This window comes from Homo sapiens, chromosome 5 (assembly GCF_000001405.40).
Source record: "Homo sapiens chromosome 5, GRCh38.p14 Primary Assembly".
Taxonomy (NCBI): domain Eukaryota; kingdom Metazoa; phylum Chordata; class Mammalia; order Primates; family Hominidae; genus Homo; species Homo sapiens.
In genome coordinates this window covers 139,368,598-139,385,831 of record NC_000005.10, presented here as the reverse complement: position 1 = coordinate 139,385,831, position 17,234 = coordinate 139,368,598, and the positions used below count along the sequence as shown (strand labels likewise).

The following is a 17,234-nucleotide window of genomic DNA, read 5'->3' as shown; positions in this document are numbered from 1 at the left end:
CAAAGGCAATCTAGTCCTCAGGCAAGAAGGAGGTCTGCTTTGAGAAAGGGCTGTTATTGTCTTTGTTTTAGACTATAAACTAAAAACTAAGTTTCTCCCAAGGTTAGTTCAGCCTACACTCAGGAATGAAGAAAGACAACTTGGAGGTTAGAAGCAAGATGGAACTGATTAAGTTAGATCTCTTTCACTGTCTCAGTCATAATTTTGCAAAGGTGGTTTCAGTGACATCCCAGGTCTTCAGAGCCTTCATGAGAAAAGAGAACCAAGGAAAACTGTGCACGCAGGCCACCTTGTGGCACACCTATTCCAGCCACTCCATGCTATCTGCACCCCTCCGAGAACACACGTCTCACTGGGTCTACACCCAATGGCTGTTCATTTTCCACACTCTGCCTTTGACCCCAGCTGGTATGGATGGGCCCTGGGTTTCTGACCAGCCAGATTCAACATTTTGGTTCTCAGTCCTGCTTTCTCTGGAAATTCTTCTGGCTGGGGCTTTTCCTTAGTAAAGAAGCCCTGGACCCCACCTAGGTCTGGGAACTGGAGATCGGTGGCACCAGAACTTTCAGTTTCGTTTGTGAGTGTCTCTGATCTGGCCAAGCCCTGGGAGAGAGACAGAACATTCTAACCCTCATTTTTAGAAATATTTTTATTTTGCACGAGAGCCATGTGCAGGAAGACAATCTAATCCCCCTTTGACAGATGCAGAAACCGAAACTTAGACAACAGAAGGGGTTTGGGCCAAGTCCCTGGCTGAGTAGTAGTAGGGCTGGGAGGGGATTCAGACTTAGGGGACCGGAGAGGCGGGCTGCTGGGGGAATGGAGGTGCCTGGGGCAGGCCCTGGCCACTCCAGCTTCCCTGGGAGCTGCACTCAGCCCCCTCCATCCTTCACCTGTTCCAGGACCTGCCTGAAGCCCCACCATCCGTGGCCTTCACTCAGGAGAGAAACCCTAGACACCAGGAGGAAAGTCAGGGCCCAAGAAACCCACTAAGCTTTCAGGACAGGGTGTGGAGCCGGGCACCCATGACGTGGACCTGTGTTTCTGTGGGGTGATTAGAGAGGCTGCATCAGCTCTGGGTGTGTGGGCCCCTTCATGCTACTGTGGATCTGGGACCGTGTTCTCCACCTTGTTCTCTATGCGTGTTGTGTGGTTTGGGTTGAATTGAGTGTCCATGGAGCCGTATCTGCAGGGGGTCGGGCTTGGTCTCCACAGCACCCTGGGGAGTTCTGGGAGGAGAAGTTGGAGAGAAAAGTGCTGGGGAGTTGCAGAGGCTTCAAACTGGTCCAGCAACTTTGGAAATTGGGAGCAGTAGCCAAGAGGGAGAGGAGAGGACAGGCGGACAGAGGAACAGTGTGGACACCGGCAGGCGGGCGGACTCAGTGCTGTGGCATGAAGCTGCTGCCCAGCTGGAGAGCGGTGCTGCCCCTTGGCCCTTCAGGCAGGGCCTGGCCATGGGCACAGCGACCCAGAAGTAGGTGGGCTCTAGAGTGCTGGGGCTGGGGCAGCCCAGAGGGGAACAGAATGGGGACCTCAGGCCCAGCCCTCACCAGCTGAGGAGCCTGAGTTCTTAGGGCCCCTCCCCATGTCCCCCTCTGCCATCTCAGGCCCTAGGGCCAGGCTGGGCTGGGCCTGCCAGGAGGGGAGACAGGCTGGGCATAGGACTGCCTTCCTGGGCTAGGTGATGGGCAGTCACACAGGGCTTGGTGCATAGAAAGGCCCCACGCTCCATCTAATGCTCCTGCTATCTTTAAATTCTTTATACTTTTGGAATAAAGGCCTCACATTCTTACTTTGCACTGGGTCCCAGAAATTATGTGGCTGGGAGGGGAAAGGGATCTGTGCCCTGACACAGAGTGCAGACCCGGCTGGGCCAGCCTAGGCAGCTCTGCCTGCAGAGGCCCATCTGCTGCCTGCCTCAGGGACCCTGAGGGGTGCAGGGTGGTGAGGGCAAGGCAGCTCAGACCAACCTGAATTTTAGGATTGGTTTCTGCAAACTTGCTATCTGCATGGCTTGGGTCAAATCACATCTACTGAATCTGTTTCCTTCGCTGTTAAAGGGGTTAATACCGCCCAGCACAGGGGTTACTTGGGACAGTGCAGATCCATGTTTCTTGGCACAAGGCCAAGGCCATTCCTCAATAACGAGAATGACTATGATGATGATGATAATGATGAACTAGTTATTAATCAGTGGGGAAGGGCCTCATACAGGGGGTTACATAATAAGTGCCTGTTTCCACTCCCTCTTTCTCCGCTCACCTGGGGCTTGGTAAACTTCTGGTCCTCACCCCCTCGACTCTGGCCCTCTCTTGGGAAACAAGAACAGGTCCAGCGCCCAGGCGCAGATGTGGGCAGGGAAGGGCACATGTGGCAGAGGCTTGGGTGGCTTTTACTGTCCTAGTGAGAGTTAATACATTACCTCTGCCCGGGCCCCCCTTTCGCAATCCAGAGCTGGGCATCTGGTTACAGATTTACTTCAAACAATGCCTGATATGTGGAGTAAAGTCCTCCTCCTTGGCCTTTGTCAAGTCATCCCCTCTTCTCCTCAGGAACTGCTCAAACCTGTGCCCCAAAGATGAGGGCCCAGGAGGACCTCGAGGGCCGGACACAGGTGCTGGGGGCTGGGGGTGGGGGCTAGGGGGGGCAGGGGGGGTGGGGGGCTGGAGGGCCTGTGCAGGCCTTCTTCCTGGAGGCCAGAGATAAACGTTCTGATGAACTTGATAAGAGTGACTGTCCCAAATTGAATGTGGCAACTGGGGGATGGGTGGAGGTGGGGGTGAAGGAGCCTGCAGCTTTGGGACTGGCTGACTCCAGGTTGGGGTTCAGGAGAGGCCTAATCTCCCGGCCAGTGACACCCCAAGGATCTCCAGGGGGCAGAGGTGGGACCGGATTGGACTTGTCCACAGTCTTGAGCCCTCTTGGCCCCCTCTCCTGTGGTCTCCAAGACTTCTGACTTAAGGGTCCACTTCCCTGGCTAAAATGGCAGGTCCTGAGGGCTCTAGAAGCTGGCACAGTAGACTCATCCCTGCGGGAAGCAATGCAAAGTGGGAGAAAACTGTGGCCAGGCCAAGTGGCACCCGGGTGGATGGACTGTTGGGGAGGGCGGGAACCCCGCTCTCAGTTGCTGACAAGCCACTTGGGCTGCCTGATTGATTCTGGGGCAGAATGGATTTTGCCTGTCCCCATCACTTCACCCTAAGCTACTTATCTCTGCTGCCTCCAGCATGAAACCACCAGGGACCCCTCGACCCCGCTACCCACAGAGCCTAAGTTTGACATGTTGTACAAGATCGAGGACGTGCCACCTTGGTACCTGTGCATCCTGCTGGGCTTCCAGGTGGGTCCCCCAGGGCCTCCCCGCCCTCACTCTGCACACTCCCCGGGGACTCCAGCCCCTCCCTGGCCAGCAGGGAGTATCTTGGGTAACAGGAAGAAAAACCTGAGGTCAGCACAGTGGCTGTCAGCAAGCAGGAGTCGGGAAGAGGCTGAATCCTGAAAGAAGATGAACTCCCTGGGGGAGTGTGACGCTTGCCAGGTGGGGTGTTGGTGACAGGGAGCAGAGCCGACTCCACGGAAGCCGCAGGAATATCTTGAGTGGAAATTAGTGACCCCCAGAGTGGTCAGCAGTAGCTCTCTGGGAATCCCTTGTGGGGACTGCCAGTCCTGGGCAGGCAGCCGGTTCCAGGCCCGCTGAGGCAGGCATGAGGACACTAGGTTGTCCCCTCTCCCTGGAGCTCTGGGGTCCTGCCTCATGCACTCTGCTGTCTCCCTCTGCCCAGCACTACCTGACATGCTTCAGTGGTACCATCGCCGTGCCCTTCCTGCTGGCTGAGGCGCTGTGTGTGGGCCACGACCAGCACATGGTTAGTCAGCTCATCGGCACCATCTTCACGTGCGTGGGCATCACCACTCTCATCCAGACCACCGTGGGCATCCGGTGAGCCGCCCAGCCCCCCAACCCGTCCCCCGCCACCCCTCCACTGTGATCCACACAGCAGGAGCAGGTGGGCTCCCAGAGGACACTGGTGAGACAAAAAAGCCGCTTTCTGCCTCCACCTGCTTCTCCTATCCCAGGCCAGCCTTAGAGCTGGGCAGCGTGGCCCCAACCCTGGGAATCTTGATCTAGGCACACTTCAAAGACCAGGCATCTGCAAGTTTAAGGGATTGTACCCTCGCTGGCTCTCCCCTCTTTTTTTTTTTTTTTTTTTTTTTTTGGAGACGGAGTTTTGCTCTTGTTGCCTAGGCTGGATTGCGGTGGCGTGATCTCGGCTCACCACAACCACCACCTCCCGGGTTCAAGCGATTCTCCCGCGTTCAAGCGATTCTCCCACCTTAGCCTCCTGAGTAGCTGGGATTACAGGCATGCGCCACCATGCCCGGCTAATTTTGTATTTGTATCTGCCCACCTTGGCCTCCCAAAGTGCTGGGATTACAGGCGTGAGCCACCAAGCCTAGCCGGCTCTCCCCTCTTAAACCCCATTCTGAATATTGCCCAGATGGCAGCCCTGAGCTAGCTCCCAGGGTTGGTGCCAGCCTCTTCGACAGCCCACCCTCCCAGGGCCCCACGCTCCCGAGTGCACAGCCCTAGGCCTGGGTGGCATTTGAGCTGTTTGAGCAGCGGGGGACAGGGGAAGATTGTGAGAGAAACCTGGATGCGGGAACTGAGGTGTCCACTTCCGGGCAGGTGCCCCCTCCTCACAGTGCAGGAGCTGGTGGTGGGAAGGGGGCAGGTTTTGAGCTGGGGGCTCCATTTGTTTTCTTCCTTGGGCAGCCAAAATGTTAGAGATGGTCTTCCCTGGGGCCTCAACGATTTCCATCTGCCCTTGTCCCTTGTGTCTCTGTCACTCTCTCTGTGCTCTCCCTTCCTGATCTCTCCCCGCATCTTTATCCCTCCTCCCCACCCGCCCCTCCCCACCCCTGTTGCTTTGTGCCTCTCCTCCAGGCTGCCGCTGTTCCAGGCCAGTGCCTTTGCATTTCTGGTTCCAGCCAAAGCCATACTGGCTCTGGAGAGATGGAAATGCCCCCCGGAAGGTGGGTACACTTCTGGGGTCTGCACTGGGGAAAAGGGGAGGCCCAGAGACCTGGAGGTCTGAGCAACTGTCCCGGGTCAACACCAGGGTGCAGCCATGGCAGCATCTTCTCTCCCTCTCTGTCTCTGTACCTGGTCCGTGTGTGTATCCCTGACTCTACCCCCAGAGGAGATCTACGGTAACTGGAGTCTGCCCCTGAACACCTCTCATATTTGGCACCCACGGATACGGGAGGTGGGTTTGCATGTAAGCATAGAAGAGGCCGGGTCCTGAGGAGGGGCTATATGGGAGTGAGGGTGGCCGCTGAGTTTGGGGATTTGAGGAGGTGGTCCAGGAGCTTTGTTCCTGCTAGCAGCAGCCAGGTCATGACCTTTACATGGTGACTTACGGCTGATGTTTGCCCTTCCAGGTCCAGGGTGCAATCATGGTGTCCAGCGTGGTGGAGGTGGTGATTGGCCTGCTGGGGCTGCCTGGGGCCCTGCTCAACTACATTGGGCCTCTCACAGTCACCCCCACTGTCTCCCTCATTGGCCTTTCTGTCTTCCAAGCTGCTGGCGACCGAGCTGGCTCCCACTGGGGCATCTCAGCTTGGTGAGCAGGCACCAGGCCTGATCCCTGCCCAGCCCCAGCACCCTACCCTCTTCATGTCCTTGGTCCTTCTTCCCGGCTCCTGGCCCCAGCCTGGCCTCCCATCCACTTCCTGATTGTGCCTCTGCCCCCAGCTCCATTCTCCTGATCATCCTCTTCTCCCAGTACCTGCGCAACCTCACCTTCCTGCTGCCTGTCTACCGCTGGGGCAAGGGCCTCACTCTCCTCCGCATCCAGATCTTCAAAATGTTTCCTGTGAGGACCTGGCAGGCGGCTGGGGCTGGGACTATGGCCAGGGCTTGGGCTGAGGTGGGAGCAGGTTAGCCTGGACAGAGACCTCCAGTGCCTTCAGTGCCCCCTCACCCCCCTCCTTCAGATCATGCTGGCCATCATGACCGTGTGGCTGCTCTGCTATGTCCTGACCTTGACAGACGTGCTGCCCACAGACCCAAAAGCCTATGGCTTCCAGGCACGAACCGATGCCCGTGGTGACATCATGGCTATTGCACCCTGGATCCGCATCCCCTACCCCTGTGAGCAACACCCCTTGGGCCCCTCTGCCCCCAACTGAGACCACCTATGAGACAGACTCCTGGTGACCCCAATCCAGCAGGTGACACACCTAGCATTAGCCGCACATTTATAGTGCGCCCAGCAGAGTGGTGTTTTACTTAGACAAAGCTTCAGTCCCACTTCCTGGCTCTGAGTGACTCAAATAAGCTCCCACAACTGTATAGCTCCCATCCCAGCCTGAGGTCTCCTGATCTGCTCTTGCTCCTTCCAGCACTGCCCTGTCTATTCCTAACCATCACAGTCTCCTCACTGTAGCCACCATCCTGTCTCCCTCCGAGCACAGGTCAGTGGGGCCTGCCCACGGTGACTGCGGCTGCTGTCCTGGGAATGTTCAGCGCCACTCTGGCAGGCATCATTGAGTCCATCGGAGATTACTACGCCTGTGCCCGCCTGGCTGGTGCACCACCCCCTCCAGTACATGCTATCAACAGGTAGCCTACCTGCCCTCCTCAGTATCTGATCTCCTCAGGCGCCACCCAGGAAGCACACACAGGAACGGGGTGGAGGCCCAGGGGGTAGGCTTAGGCAAGTCGGGAACACGCTCCAGACCTCATTCTCCTTGTTTGTGCGATGGGGGTGCCCTCTCATCACCCCTCTGTCTTTGCTGGGAGTAGCTGAGAAGATGGTGGAGTCCAAAGGGAACCACCGTCATTGACAGCCCTCCATGTGCCCGGCTCTGACTGTGCATTCTTATGCAATCTTTGAAGCATTTTGTGAGACGGGCACCGGTATTTATCCCAGGAGGAAATTGAAGGCCAGAATTACCCACAGGAGTAAGTGCCAGGGCACTAGGACTAGCTCTGGAGCCTGAGCATTCTGGCCTGTAGTAGGGAGTGCTACAGCTGATAGCTGCAGCCCCCACAGCCCCAGAGGACGGCAGCTTGCTAAGATGATGGGGGAACACAGACTGGTGCAGAGGCTGGACCAAGCCCCGACTCTCCCTTTCCTTACAGGGGCATCTTCACCGAAGGCATTTGCTGCATCATCGCGGGGCTATTGGGCACGGGCAACGGGTCCACCTCGTCCAGTCCCAACATTGGCGTCCTGGGAATTACCAAGGTGTCGCGACGAGCCAGAGCCAAATCCTGCCCTAATTCCGTGGGCCGCAGGCCCCGCCCCAACTCGGTCCCCACTTTGGTTTAGCCCCACCCTGTCTTTGAGAGGCCTCGCCCCCGCATCAAGCCCCAGCCGGTTTATGCCTCGCTCTTATAACAGGCCCCGCCCCTGGAACTAACCCCGCCCCAGCCTCGTCCCCAGGTCTAGCTTCCCCGCTGGCTCCCCGGCAGGTGGGCAGCCGGCGCGTGGTGCAGTATGGTGCGGCTATCATGCTGGTCCTGGGCACCATCGGCAAGTTCACGGCCCTCTTCGCCTCGCTCCCTGACCCCATCCTGGGGGGCATGTTCTGCACTCTCTTTGGTGAGTGTCTGGCGCGGGCCACGGGTCGCGGTGCGGGTCGCCGAGTGGGACTCACCTGGATTACGCGTGTGCGGCGCCTCCAGCCGTTCTCTTGCGCCCTTAGGCATGATTACAGCTGTGGGGCTGTCCAACCTGCAATTTGTGGACATGAACTCCTCTCGCAACCTCTTCGTGCTGGGATTTTCCATGTTCTTCGGGCTCACGCTGCCCAATTACCTGGAGTCCAACCCTGGCGCCATCAATACAGGTGCCTCCAGCTGTTTACTGTCTCCAAAGGCGGGGTGGGCCCAAAATTTTGAGCACAGCCCCCTCCCTCAAAGGCTCCACACAGCTACAGCCACAAATCGTACCCAACTCTGGGTGTCAACCAGCAGCTGAGAGCTTGGGTCACAGCTGTCCTTTACTAAGACACTTCCTGTGGACAGATATTGACCTTTACATGTGCTTATTTAATTTTCAAAACAGCTCCATTTATCTACATTTATCATTTCTCCATTATCATTTCAACTTTACAGATGAGGAAGATGAGGCTCAGTGATTTGTCCCAGGTGAACAACTAGCAACTGGCAGAATTGGGACTTGAACCCAGAGATAGGAAAGACAGAGATAGGTTTGAGACAGGGCTTTGTACTGTTCCTTTGCCATAGCTGCACAAGAGGAAGTCCCTCAACTCTGCTCTCCAGATTGGGCCATGACACCCATTGGCCCTTGGCCTATTCCACAGGCATTCTTGAAGTGGATCAGATTCTGATTGTGCTGCTGACCACGGAGATGTTTGTGGGCGGGTGCCTTGCTTTCATACTTGACAACACAGTGCCAGGTATGGTTCGGTCCTGGGAGGGGAATGAAGAACTAGGCTGGACTCATGCACTCCAACAGATGGCCTCTGAGCTGGAGCTGTGTGGTTAGGTCCCATGCAATGCAGGCCCTGCAGGGAGCATCAGGAATAGATGGGCTGGTGGAGTGCTCACTGGCTGGAGGGAGAGAATGAGGCACAGACATGCCTCAGAGGTCTTGAAGAGGATGGGGCCGGAAGAGTCACTGCTGGGTCCTGTGAATCCTTTCCTCTCCACTTTTTCCATTTCTTTCCTTTTTTTTTTTCCGAGATGGAGTCTCGCCCTGTCACCCAGGCTGGAGTGCAGTGGTGCGATCTCAGCTCACTGCAACCTCCACTTCCCGGAGGGTTCAAGTGATTCTCCTGTCTCCTGAGTAGCTGGGACTACAGGTGGCTGCCACCACGCCCAGCTAATTTTCATATTTTTGGTAGAGATGGGGTTTCACCATATTGGGCAGGCTGGTCTTGAACTCCTGACCTCAAGTGATACGCTCGCCTCAACCTCCCAAAGTGCTGGATTACAGGCATGAGCCACTGCACCTGGCCTCCTCTCCATTTCTTAATAGCCACTGGGCTGAGGGATGTCTTTGCTTTCTTCAGAGTAGGACAGAGATAAATGCAGCATCAGTTTGTTGGCAAAATCCATCCACTCCAAATATGTCAGCAGCCTGCCACAATGGCGACTAGAAGAGCCACTAACATTTCCCTTTGGTACCAGAGCTTTTTGCAAAGATCGTGGAGGATACTTTGTGGGGCCCGCATAAAGATGCCAGTAAATATATAAAATAAATGTCACCAGGTGCTCTGATAACAAACAGTTAACATTTAGCAAACATATACTATGGGTAAGGCAGAGCTAAGTGTCTTACTTCATCCTCAAAAACCACAAAGTCATAAAGTCACAAAATTAAAACATCACGGCCGAGCATGGTGGCTCATGCCTGTAATCCCATCACTTTGGGAGGCTAAGGCGGGTGGATCACGAGGTCAGGAGTTTGAGACAAGCCTGGCCAACATGGTGAAACCCCATCTCTACTAAAAATGCAAAAATTAGCTGGGTGTGGTGGTGTGTGCCTGTAATCCCAGCTTCTCGGGAGGCTGAGGCAGGAGAATTGCTTGAACCTGGGAGGCGAAGGTTGCGGTGGGCCGAGATCGTGCCATTGCACTCCAGCCTGGGTGACAGGGTGAGACTCCATCTCAAAAAAAAAATTAAAACATCGCAAATCTGGGATGTATATTTTAATTGAGACAGGGTCTCAGACTATCACCCAGACTGGAGTGTAGTGGCACAATCATAGCTCACTACAGCCTCAAACTCCTGGGCTTATGTGACCCTCCTGCCTCAGCCTCCCAAATAATTGGGACTACCGGTGCACAGGTGCATGCCACCATGCCCGGCTAATTTTTGAATTTTTTGTAGAGACGGGGTCTTACTTTATTGCCAAGGTTGGTCTTGAACTCCTGGGCTCAAGTGATCCTCCCATCTCAGCCTCTCAAAGTACTGGGATTATAGGTGTGAGCCACCACACCTGTCCTCAATTTTTTTTTTTTGAGATGGAGTCTTGCTCTTGTCACCCAGGCTGGAGCACAATGGCGTGATCTCGGCTCACTGCCACCTCCGCCTCCTGAGCTCAACCGATTCTCTTGCCTCAGCCTCCCAAGTAGCTGGGATTACAGGTGTGCACCACCACACCCAGCTAATTTTTGTATTTTTAGTAGAGACAGGGTTTCACTATGTTGGCCAGGGTAGTCTCAAACTCCTGACCTCAGGTGATCCGCCCACCTTGGCCTCCCAAAGTGCTAGGATTACAGGCGTGAGCCACCACACCTAGCCTCTATTTTTAAATTAAGATGGGGGTCTATGTTGCCCAGGCTGGAGTGCAGTGGTTATTCACAGGTGTGATCATAGCATACTACAGCCTCAAACTCCTGGACTCAAGCAATCCTTCTGTCTCGGCCTCCTGAAGAGCTGAGAGTACAGGTGCATGCTATATACCATCTGGCTAAATCTGGGATTTTTAACAACATCCATCTGACGCAGTCAATGGCCTGTGTCCCATCCACTGCACCATACTGCCTCTGCTGGAGGGTTTCAGGGGACCTGGGCTGCAGGACTGGGGAAGGCTCCATGGAGATGGGAGTTAATGACTGCATCAGTATAGGGACATAAGGGATGGTAGTAGCAAGATGATGGGCCTCCATTTTGTCACTTACCAGCCTGATCACAGCCACAGGTCCTGTCTGCCTCCCTCTCTCTCAAGATCCAAGTGTTCATGTTCACATAACATAGGTGTCAGAGGCTGTCTCTGAACAGCTGGTGGGTTGGGGCTGGGGAGGACAGAGGAGGGCCAGGGTTCCCCGTAGGATTTTAGGCAGAATCAAAGGAAGGTGCTCTTGGTAGCAGCTGTCCCTTCGATGGATGGGTGGCTATTTGAACATGGTACCCCTGCCCATTTAGAGGATGCTAGACTGGGGGCTGGAACAGACCATCCTATGGGCCTGAGACAGTCAAGTGGCAGCCTCAATGCCTAGGGAATATGAGGAGATGGAGAGCATCTGGGTAGGCATCTGTACATGAAGAGGCTTCTTTGTGACTTGGGTGGCTAGTTTAAGCTATCCAGTCATCCTTAACAACAGCTGCAGAACTGCCTGAGTCCCTTATACCCCACATTTCAACCCACCTGAGCATCACAACTGTCCCTGCCAGGAATCATCCTGTGTGTCATGCCACATAAGCTCAGCAGTCTTCAGTATCCACTGAGGAACCTAAAGCTCAGGGGGGTTGTCACTTGCCTAAGGTCACACAACCTGGATTCAAACTAAGGTCTAGCTGGCTCAAAACCCTGTCCTTAACCATGGAATAGCAAAAGCCTTTTCCAGCCCTTAACTTCCTGCTGGGGATGGGCCATTTTGCATTTGTTTTTTTTGTTTGTTTGTTTGTTTTGTTTTTGAGACGGAGTCTCGCTCTGTCGCCCAGGCTGGAGTGCAGTGGCGCAATCTTGGCTGTGCCTCCCAGGTTCACACCATTCTCCTGCCTCAGCCTCCCGAGTAGCTGGGACTACCGGTGCCCGCCACCACGCCTGGCTAATTTTTTGTATTTTTAGTAGACACAGGGTGCTCTTTGTCTTTACCTATCCAGAGCCCAACCTTAGAGGGCAGTCCGTTTAGTTCAGCACATGCTGCTAGAGCTTACCAGCTTGGCCCTGAATCAGACACTGAGGAGGATATGCCAAAAAGTGTAAGTCAGTAACAATTTGTTTAGAGGAGCTCCTGGCACAAGATAGGTGGTAAAACTAGATTTAAGCAAGCAATGAAGTCAAGGAAGCCGGGCTGGAGTTATTGGGAGGGTTTACTGATGAGGGAGAGTAGGTGAGGCCTAGGAAAAAGGAGGGGGCTTGGAGAAGTACAGAAGGCACTGAAGGTTGGGATGTAGTGGGCAGGCTGACTGGTCTGCTAGAGGGAGCTCTGGGCTGGCTGCCATGTGTGTCTTGGCAGTGGTGCGAGGTAATCGGACACCAGAAACATAGTCCTACGCCACACCTATGGCTCATCCCACTCTACTGTGCCCACTGTGTGTGCCCTTTGTACAGCCAAGCCCAATCAAGGTTTCTCTTCCAGACTGTGTGTGCCCTTTGTAGAGCCAAGCCCAAACAGTGTCTCTTCCAGGTAGTCTTCCCTAGGGACTCCACCTTCCCTCAGTGCCCTCTCCTGTGAGATTTTGGAACATAACTTGGTTTGTGCTACTCATGGGTTTGTTCTCAGCCTGGGCTGCCAGCAAGTGGAAATTCCCACTCCTGCTAGATTTATAGTATTTCAGTCTTTGTCGATCCCAGCCCTCTTGTGAAAACCTGAGATCTCATGTGACCCTGCCCCACCTGAGGGAGAATTCCTAGTTGTAAAAATTACTAGCCCGGCTCAGTGGCTCACACCTATAATCCCAGAACTTTGCAAGGCCAAGGCGGGCTGATCACTTGAGGTCAGGAGTTCGACACCAGTGCCTGGCCAACATGGTGAAACCTCATCTCTATTAAAATTACAGTAATTAGCCGGGCGTGGTGGGTCACACCTGTAATCCCAGCTACTCGGGAGGCTGAGGCAGGAGAATCGCTTGCATCTGGGAGGCAGAGGTTGCAGTGAACCGAGATCAACCCACTGTACTCCATCCTGGGCAACAGAGCAAGACTCTGTCTCAAAAACAACAACAACAACAAAAAAAACACAACACAAAAAAACAAATTATTTGGTGTATCCCTACCTCCAAAGATTTTATTTAGCTTGACTTTCTGAAGTTTGTATTATAAAAATGAGTTTTTCACATATGGAATCATAATATGAAATATTAACACTGATTATAGTGTTTCAAAATATGCCTCCCTTACCCCCAGAACGCAATCTGGACTTGATTTGGTCCCCATGGGCCTAACACACATTACCACATACTCACAGATTTAGGTTCACAATTACTTAACTTTTTGTCCCTTTCTTCATCTTAAAATTTTGTATAGGCCGGGCACAGTGGCTCACGCTTATAATCCCAGCACTTTGGGAGGCCAAGCCAGGCAGATCACAAGGTCAGGAGTTCAAGACCAGCCTGACCAACATAGTGACACCCCGTCTCTACTAAAAATACAAAAATTAGCTGGGCATGGTGGTGCATGCCTGTAATCCCAGCTACTAAGGAGACTGAGGCAGGATAATCGCTTAAACCCGGGAGGAGGAGGTGGCAGTGAGCCGAGATCGTGCCAGTGCACTCCAGCCTGGGCAACAGAGCGAGACTGTCTCAAAAAAATAAATAAATAAAATAAAATAAAATAAAAATTTGTACAATGGTGTCTATACATCTCCCAGGGGTATGTTTTCAAGAAACAAGATAATGAAATTAAAGCACTTAGCACAGAGCCTGGCACACTGTAGTTACACAATAAATACTACTATAACTAGTATCCTTTAGTGTTCCTTAGAGCTCTGGCCAAGTTAGGAGCTCAGAAACCATAGATTCAGCCACGTTTTAGGACCAAATGATAGTTAAGGAAGATACTTGATTCCAGAAGTCTGCCTTAGGACTGGGTTATGGGAAGTGGGGGTGGCTGAGGGTTGCTGGCCTTGGTAAATGACCTCACTATCCTCTTCCAGGGAGCCCAGAGGAGCGTGGTCTGATACAGTGGAAAGCTGGGGCTCATGCCAACAGTGACATGTCTTCCAGCCTCAAGAGCTACGATTTCCCCATTGGGATGGGCATAGTAAAAAGAATTACCTTTCTGAAATACATTCCTATCTGCCCAGTCTTCAAAGGATTTTCTTCAAGTTCAAAAGATCAGATTGCAATTCCAGAAGACACTCCAGAAAATACAGAAACTGCATCTGTGTGCACCAAGGTCTGAAAAATGACTTCCAGGAAAGGTAGGATGTGTCTATGGTTTTTGTGGGAGGGTTGAATAATCAAAACATTCTTATGCTTTAACCAAAGAAAAACCAAACTACTCAGTTCTCTTTCTTGTAAACTGTTTGAATGTCCTCAAAGAGAAGGTGAGCTGGGTAAAAAGTCAACATACGGATTTTGGGTGGAATTCCTTTACCATTTCATAGTAACAGCAGAACTTCCCAACTAGTGTGGGCCACTAAGAGGCTACAAGTATGCTGAAATGCAGATCCTCTAGCCTTCCAGACACCTGGGCAGAATCTGGGCCAATTGGAGTCCTTGAGCTAAGAACTCTAGCCACTGGCAGCCTCATTCTTGTACTCCAGTATGCTAAACAAGTATCACTTTGATATGCGACATGGAAAATGTTGAGAAATGCAGCACAAGAACAGGAAAAATCCTCTCATATACACTGCCTTGTCTCAATAACGTCATAAAATTAAAACCCTTTAAAACAGGATGCCTTTATCCTAAAACGATGCCTGTACAAGCCCTGATGAGGTGACACTTTGTCCTTAGGTCTTCAGAACGCATGGGCAGCTGATGCTCGGAAACCTTCCATCACTATCTGTAATGCAGATGCCTGGCTCTCTACTAAACACTGAAGTGGGTTCAATGTGCACGTTCCCTCAGACAGACAAGAAAAGTTCCCAAAAAGAGAGGTTAGCCTAGATGACTCCTTAATAGTAAAAATAACAACACTTAAAACAGGACTTTCTATGTCTTAAGTACTTATATATATTAACTACTCACATAATCCAGAGACAGTTATTACTGCTATTTTAGAGATGTGGAAAGGAAGGTACAGAAAGGTTAAGTGATATGCCCATGATCACAGGATTCACATCCAGGAAGTCTGGCTAGAGTTCCCTTTTCCTTTTTTTTTGAGACAGAGTCTTGCTCTGTCGCCCAGGCTGGAGTGCAGTGGCGCCATCTCGGCTCACTGCAACCTCCACCTCCCGGGTTCAAGCAATTCTCCTGTCTCAGCCTTCTGAGTAGCTGGGATTACAGGCGTCTACCACCATGCCCAGCTTATTTTTGTAGAGATGGAGTTTCACCATGTTGGCCAGGCTGGTCTCAAACTCCTAACCTCAAATGATCCACCTACCTTGACCTCCCAAAGTACTGGGATTACAGGCGTGAGCCACCGCACCCAGCCTAGAGCCCCCTTTTCTTTTTTTAAATTTTTTTCCCAACAAAAGCCACATTCAAGAATCTTTACTCTTAAGGGCGATCACCTGAGGTCAGGAGTTCGAGTCCAGCCTGGCCAACATGGCAAAACCGCATCTCTACTAAAAAAATACAAAAATTAGCCAGGCGTGGTGGTAGGCGCCTGTAATCCCAGCTACTTGAGGCTGAGACAGGAGAATCACTTGAGCCCAGGAGGCAGAGGTTGCATTGAACTGAGATTGCATGACTGCACTCCAGCCTTGGTGACAGAGTGAGACTCTGTCTTGAAAATAAATAAATAAATAAATAAATAAATAAATAAATAAAGGCTGGGTGCGGTGGCTCACGCCTGTAATCTCAGCACTTTGGGAGGCCGAGGCAGGTGGATAACCTGAAGTCAGGAGTTCAAGACCAGCCCGGCTAACATGGTGAAACTCGGTCTCTACTAAAAATACAAAAATTAGCCAGGTGTGGTGGCACACAACTGTAATCCTAGCTATTTGGGAGGCTGAGGCAGGAGAATCACTTGAACCTGGGAGGTGAAGGTTGCAGTGAGCTGAGATCGTGCCACTGTACTTCAGCCTGGGCAACAGAGCAGGACTCCGTCTCCAAAAACCAACCAACCAACCAACCACACACTGGGGTACAGGTGCCCACACCAAAGAACCTCCCCCATACCCACTGCCAGAAGAATGTGAGTCAGAACTGACTATATGGCTCTCTTAATCTTTTTCAACCTAATAAGCTCAAAAAAAGCCCTTGTGAAGAACAAAAAACAATGGAGGTTCTATTAGAGTAAGGTCACCATCATATTGGTCAGCCATAAAGTTTCTTACATGACTATCTAGGATTCCCCTGACACTGAAGTCTGAGGTGATTAAGAAGCAAGGATGGGCAATGGAGTTATTCTACTGCTATATTCTGGAAAGGTACTTGCATGGCAACATACCTGTTAGAATCTAACAAAGCCTGAAAGCTTAGCACATTTTGCCAGCAAGATTGTCCTGAGGCACTGGGCCCATACTCAAGTGAGTAACACCACTACAGTACATTCCAGCACCAATAAACACAACCATCTGCTCAGTTCTACTATTATTTATTTTTTTAAATATTTTTGAAAAAATATAATTTTTTTACAATATTTTCAACTTAAACACTATTCACACTGAACACGTATGGCAGCTTAACCTACCCAAATATGAAGTTTAAGAAGCCAAAACTGTTCTAGCTTTGTTAAAAGTTGTGCTGCAGACTCTCGTGATGGTTAACAAAGCAAGGAAAAGCACCACTCAAATCATGTTACAGTATCTTTGTTCAGCTGGATTATGGGTTGGTATTGGTCATATGTTAGACTCCATACAGGCATAGCTATGATGCAGTGAATCCCTTAGAAGTTACAATTCTCAAATTACATACTTCCTCAGATGTAACATTAGAACTCAATATTTCTAACAATAACATACCAGAAAAGGCTGGACTGGCACTCATCTGCTGACTAACTTGTAGCCTCAGTAATATGACATACTTGCCTTTAACAAATTATCTCAAATTAACTAACAGACCTTCAGAAAATGGAGATTCTTTTTGATGGGGACATAATCAAATTTAAGTCTGAGAAATATGCTTAACAGTTGGAACTCAAATTAAATGTACTGATTTTAAAGTTTAGACATTAACAAGTGATAGATTAGCCTCAAAAAAAGACAATTTGGTAAGGTTTAGGTCTTTTAATTTGGTGCTTGTTCACAACTTGACTGGTGCTTCTTTCCTTGCTGTCTTCACATCAAGCCATGGGGCCAATTCTATTTTCAGTAAATGTTTGACAGCTTTTTACTTAGTAACAGTCTCAGCACTTTTATTAAGCATGCAAGACTAACAAAAACTTTGGCAATGCATAAGTGTAACACAGTGACAAGAGAGCTTTTACAATTAAGTCTTCTAATACTGCCTTCACAGTGTGGAAATTGTGCTACATCCACCAAAAGAGGGCCCCGTCTACTCAAATATTTCCGTACTTCACCCCAGGAACAAACTCCTTTGCATTTGGATTCAGATTGCTCTTGACCTGGAAAATAAGTACATAAAAAAGCAAGTTCATTAACACAGTTTCAGGTACTAATTCAATCTAGATCCTCATGCAAAAACATCTTCCAAAAAAAAAAAGACAAAAGAACTCAGTCTGTAAGACTATACTAAACCC

The 17,234-nt window shown here is 51.2% G+C and overlaps 2 protein-coding genes across 20 annotated transcripts in view, besides 6 other annotated features; one reads left to right on the top strand and one right to left on the bottom strand.

Annotated features, from left to right (window-relative positions):
- The first annotated feature begins 155 nt into the window (after positions 1 to 155).
- The window catches only part of SLC23A1 (solute carrier family 23 member 1), an 18,481-nt gene continuing 1,402 nt past the window's right edge, over positions 156 to 17,234 (top strand). The window contains exons 1-16 of one of the 12 annotated variants that reach the window (XM_011543765.3): positions 425 to 1,474; positions 2,553 to 2,614; positions 3,227 to 3,340; positions 3,783 to 3,940; positions 4,946 to 5,034; positions 5,200 to 5,279; positions 5,443 to 5,624; positions 5,756 to 5,876; positions 5,998 to 6,154; positions 6,478 to 6,625; positions 7,148 to 7,253; positions 7,481 to 7,610; positions 7,714 to 7,857; positions 8,335 to 8,430; positions 13,579 to 13,845; positions 14,384 to 14,785. In XM_011543765.3, coding sequence (XP_011542067.2) covers positions 1,096 to 1,474; positions 2,553 to 2,614; positions 3,227 to 3,340; positions 3,783 to 3,940; positions 4,946 to 5,034; positions 5,200 to 5,279; positions 5,443 to 5,624; positions 5,756 to 5,876; positions 5,998 to 6,154; positions 6,478 to 6,625; positions 7,148 to 7,253; positions 7,481 to 7,610; positions 7,714 to 7,857; positions 8,335 to 8,430; positions 13,579 to 13,826 — 2,214 coding nt within the window. In that variant the 5' untranslated portion in view covers positions 425 to 1,095 and the 3' untranslated portion in view covers positions 13,827 to 13,845; positions 14,384 to 14,785. The other 11 variants (XM_047417957.1, XM_047417955.1, XM_005272149.5 and 8 more) reach the window with 11 other exon arrangements.
- Positions 1,115 to 1,284: an enhancer, noted in NCBI's record as "active region_23222". NCBI's record gives its function as "activates an Ori minimal core promoter by ATAC-STARR-seq in GM12878 lymphoblastoid cells {active_cell/tissue: GM12878}" and the evidence as "EXISTENCE:reporter gene assay evidence [ECO:0000049][PMID:35858748]".
- Positions 1,665 to 1,834: an enhancer, noted in NCBI's record as "active region_23221". NCBI's record gives its function as "activates an Ori minimal core promoter by ATAC-STARR-seq in GM12878 lymphoblastoid cells {active_cell/tissue: GM12878}" and the evidence as "EXISTENCE:reporter gene assay evidence [ECO:0000049][PMID:35858748]".
- Positions 1,855 to 1,924: an enhancer, noted in NCBI's record as "active region_23220". NCBI's record gives its function as "activates an Ori minimal core promoter by ATAC-STARR-seq in GM12878 lymphoblastoid cells {active_cell/tissue: GM12878}" and the evidence as "EXISTENCE:reporter gene assay evidence [ECO:0000049][PMID:35858748]".
- Positions 3,175 to 3,234: a silencer, noted in NCBI's record as "silent region_16408". NCBI's record gives its function as "represses an Ori minimal core promoter by ATAC-STARR-seq in GM12878 lymphoblastoid cells {active_cell/tissue: GM12878}" and the evidence as "EXISTENCE:reporter gene assay evidence [ECO:0000049][PMID:35858748]".
- Positions 3,525 to 3,574: an enhancer, noted in NCBI's record as "active region_23219". NCBI's record gives its function as "activates an Ori minimal core promoter by ATAC-STARR-seq in GM12878 lymphoblastoid cells {active_cell/tissue: GM12878}" and the evidence as "EXISTENCE:reporter gene assay evidence [ECO:0000049][PMID:35858748]".
- Positions 4,050 to 4,990: an enhancer, noted in NCBI's record as "H3K4me1 hESC enhancer chr5:138716531-138717471 (GRCh37/hg19 assembly coordinates)". NCBI's record gives its function as "activates a minimal SCP1, AML or CMV promoter by ChIP-STARR-seq in naive H9 embryonic stem cells {active_cell/tissue: H9 hESC(naive)}" and the evidence as "EXISTENCE:reporter gene assay evidence [ECO:0000049][PMID:30033119]".
- Positions 16,115 to 17,234, bottom strand: part of PAIP2 (poly(A) binding protein interacting protein 2) — a 27,864-nt gene continuing 26,744 nt past the window's right edge. For all 8 annotated transcript variants that reach the window (NR_109830.2, XM_017009522.2, NM_016480.5 and 5 more), the window contains one exon: positions 16,115 to 17,099. Coding sequence is in view for 7 of the 8 variants with exons in the window: in XM_017009522.2 (XP_016865011.1) it covers positions 17,034 to 17,099 (66 nt within the window). In the remaining variant the exon portion in view is untranslated. The remainder of the gene's footprint in view (positions 17,100 to 17,234) is intronic.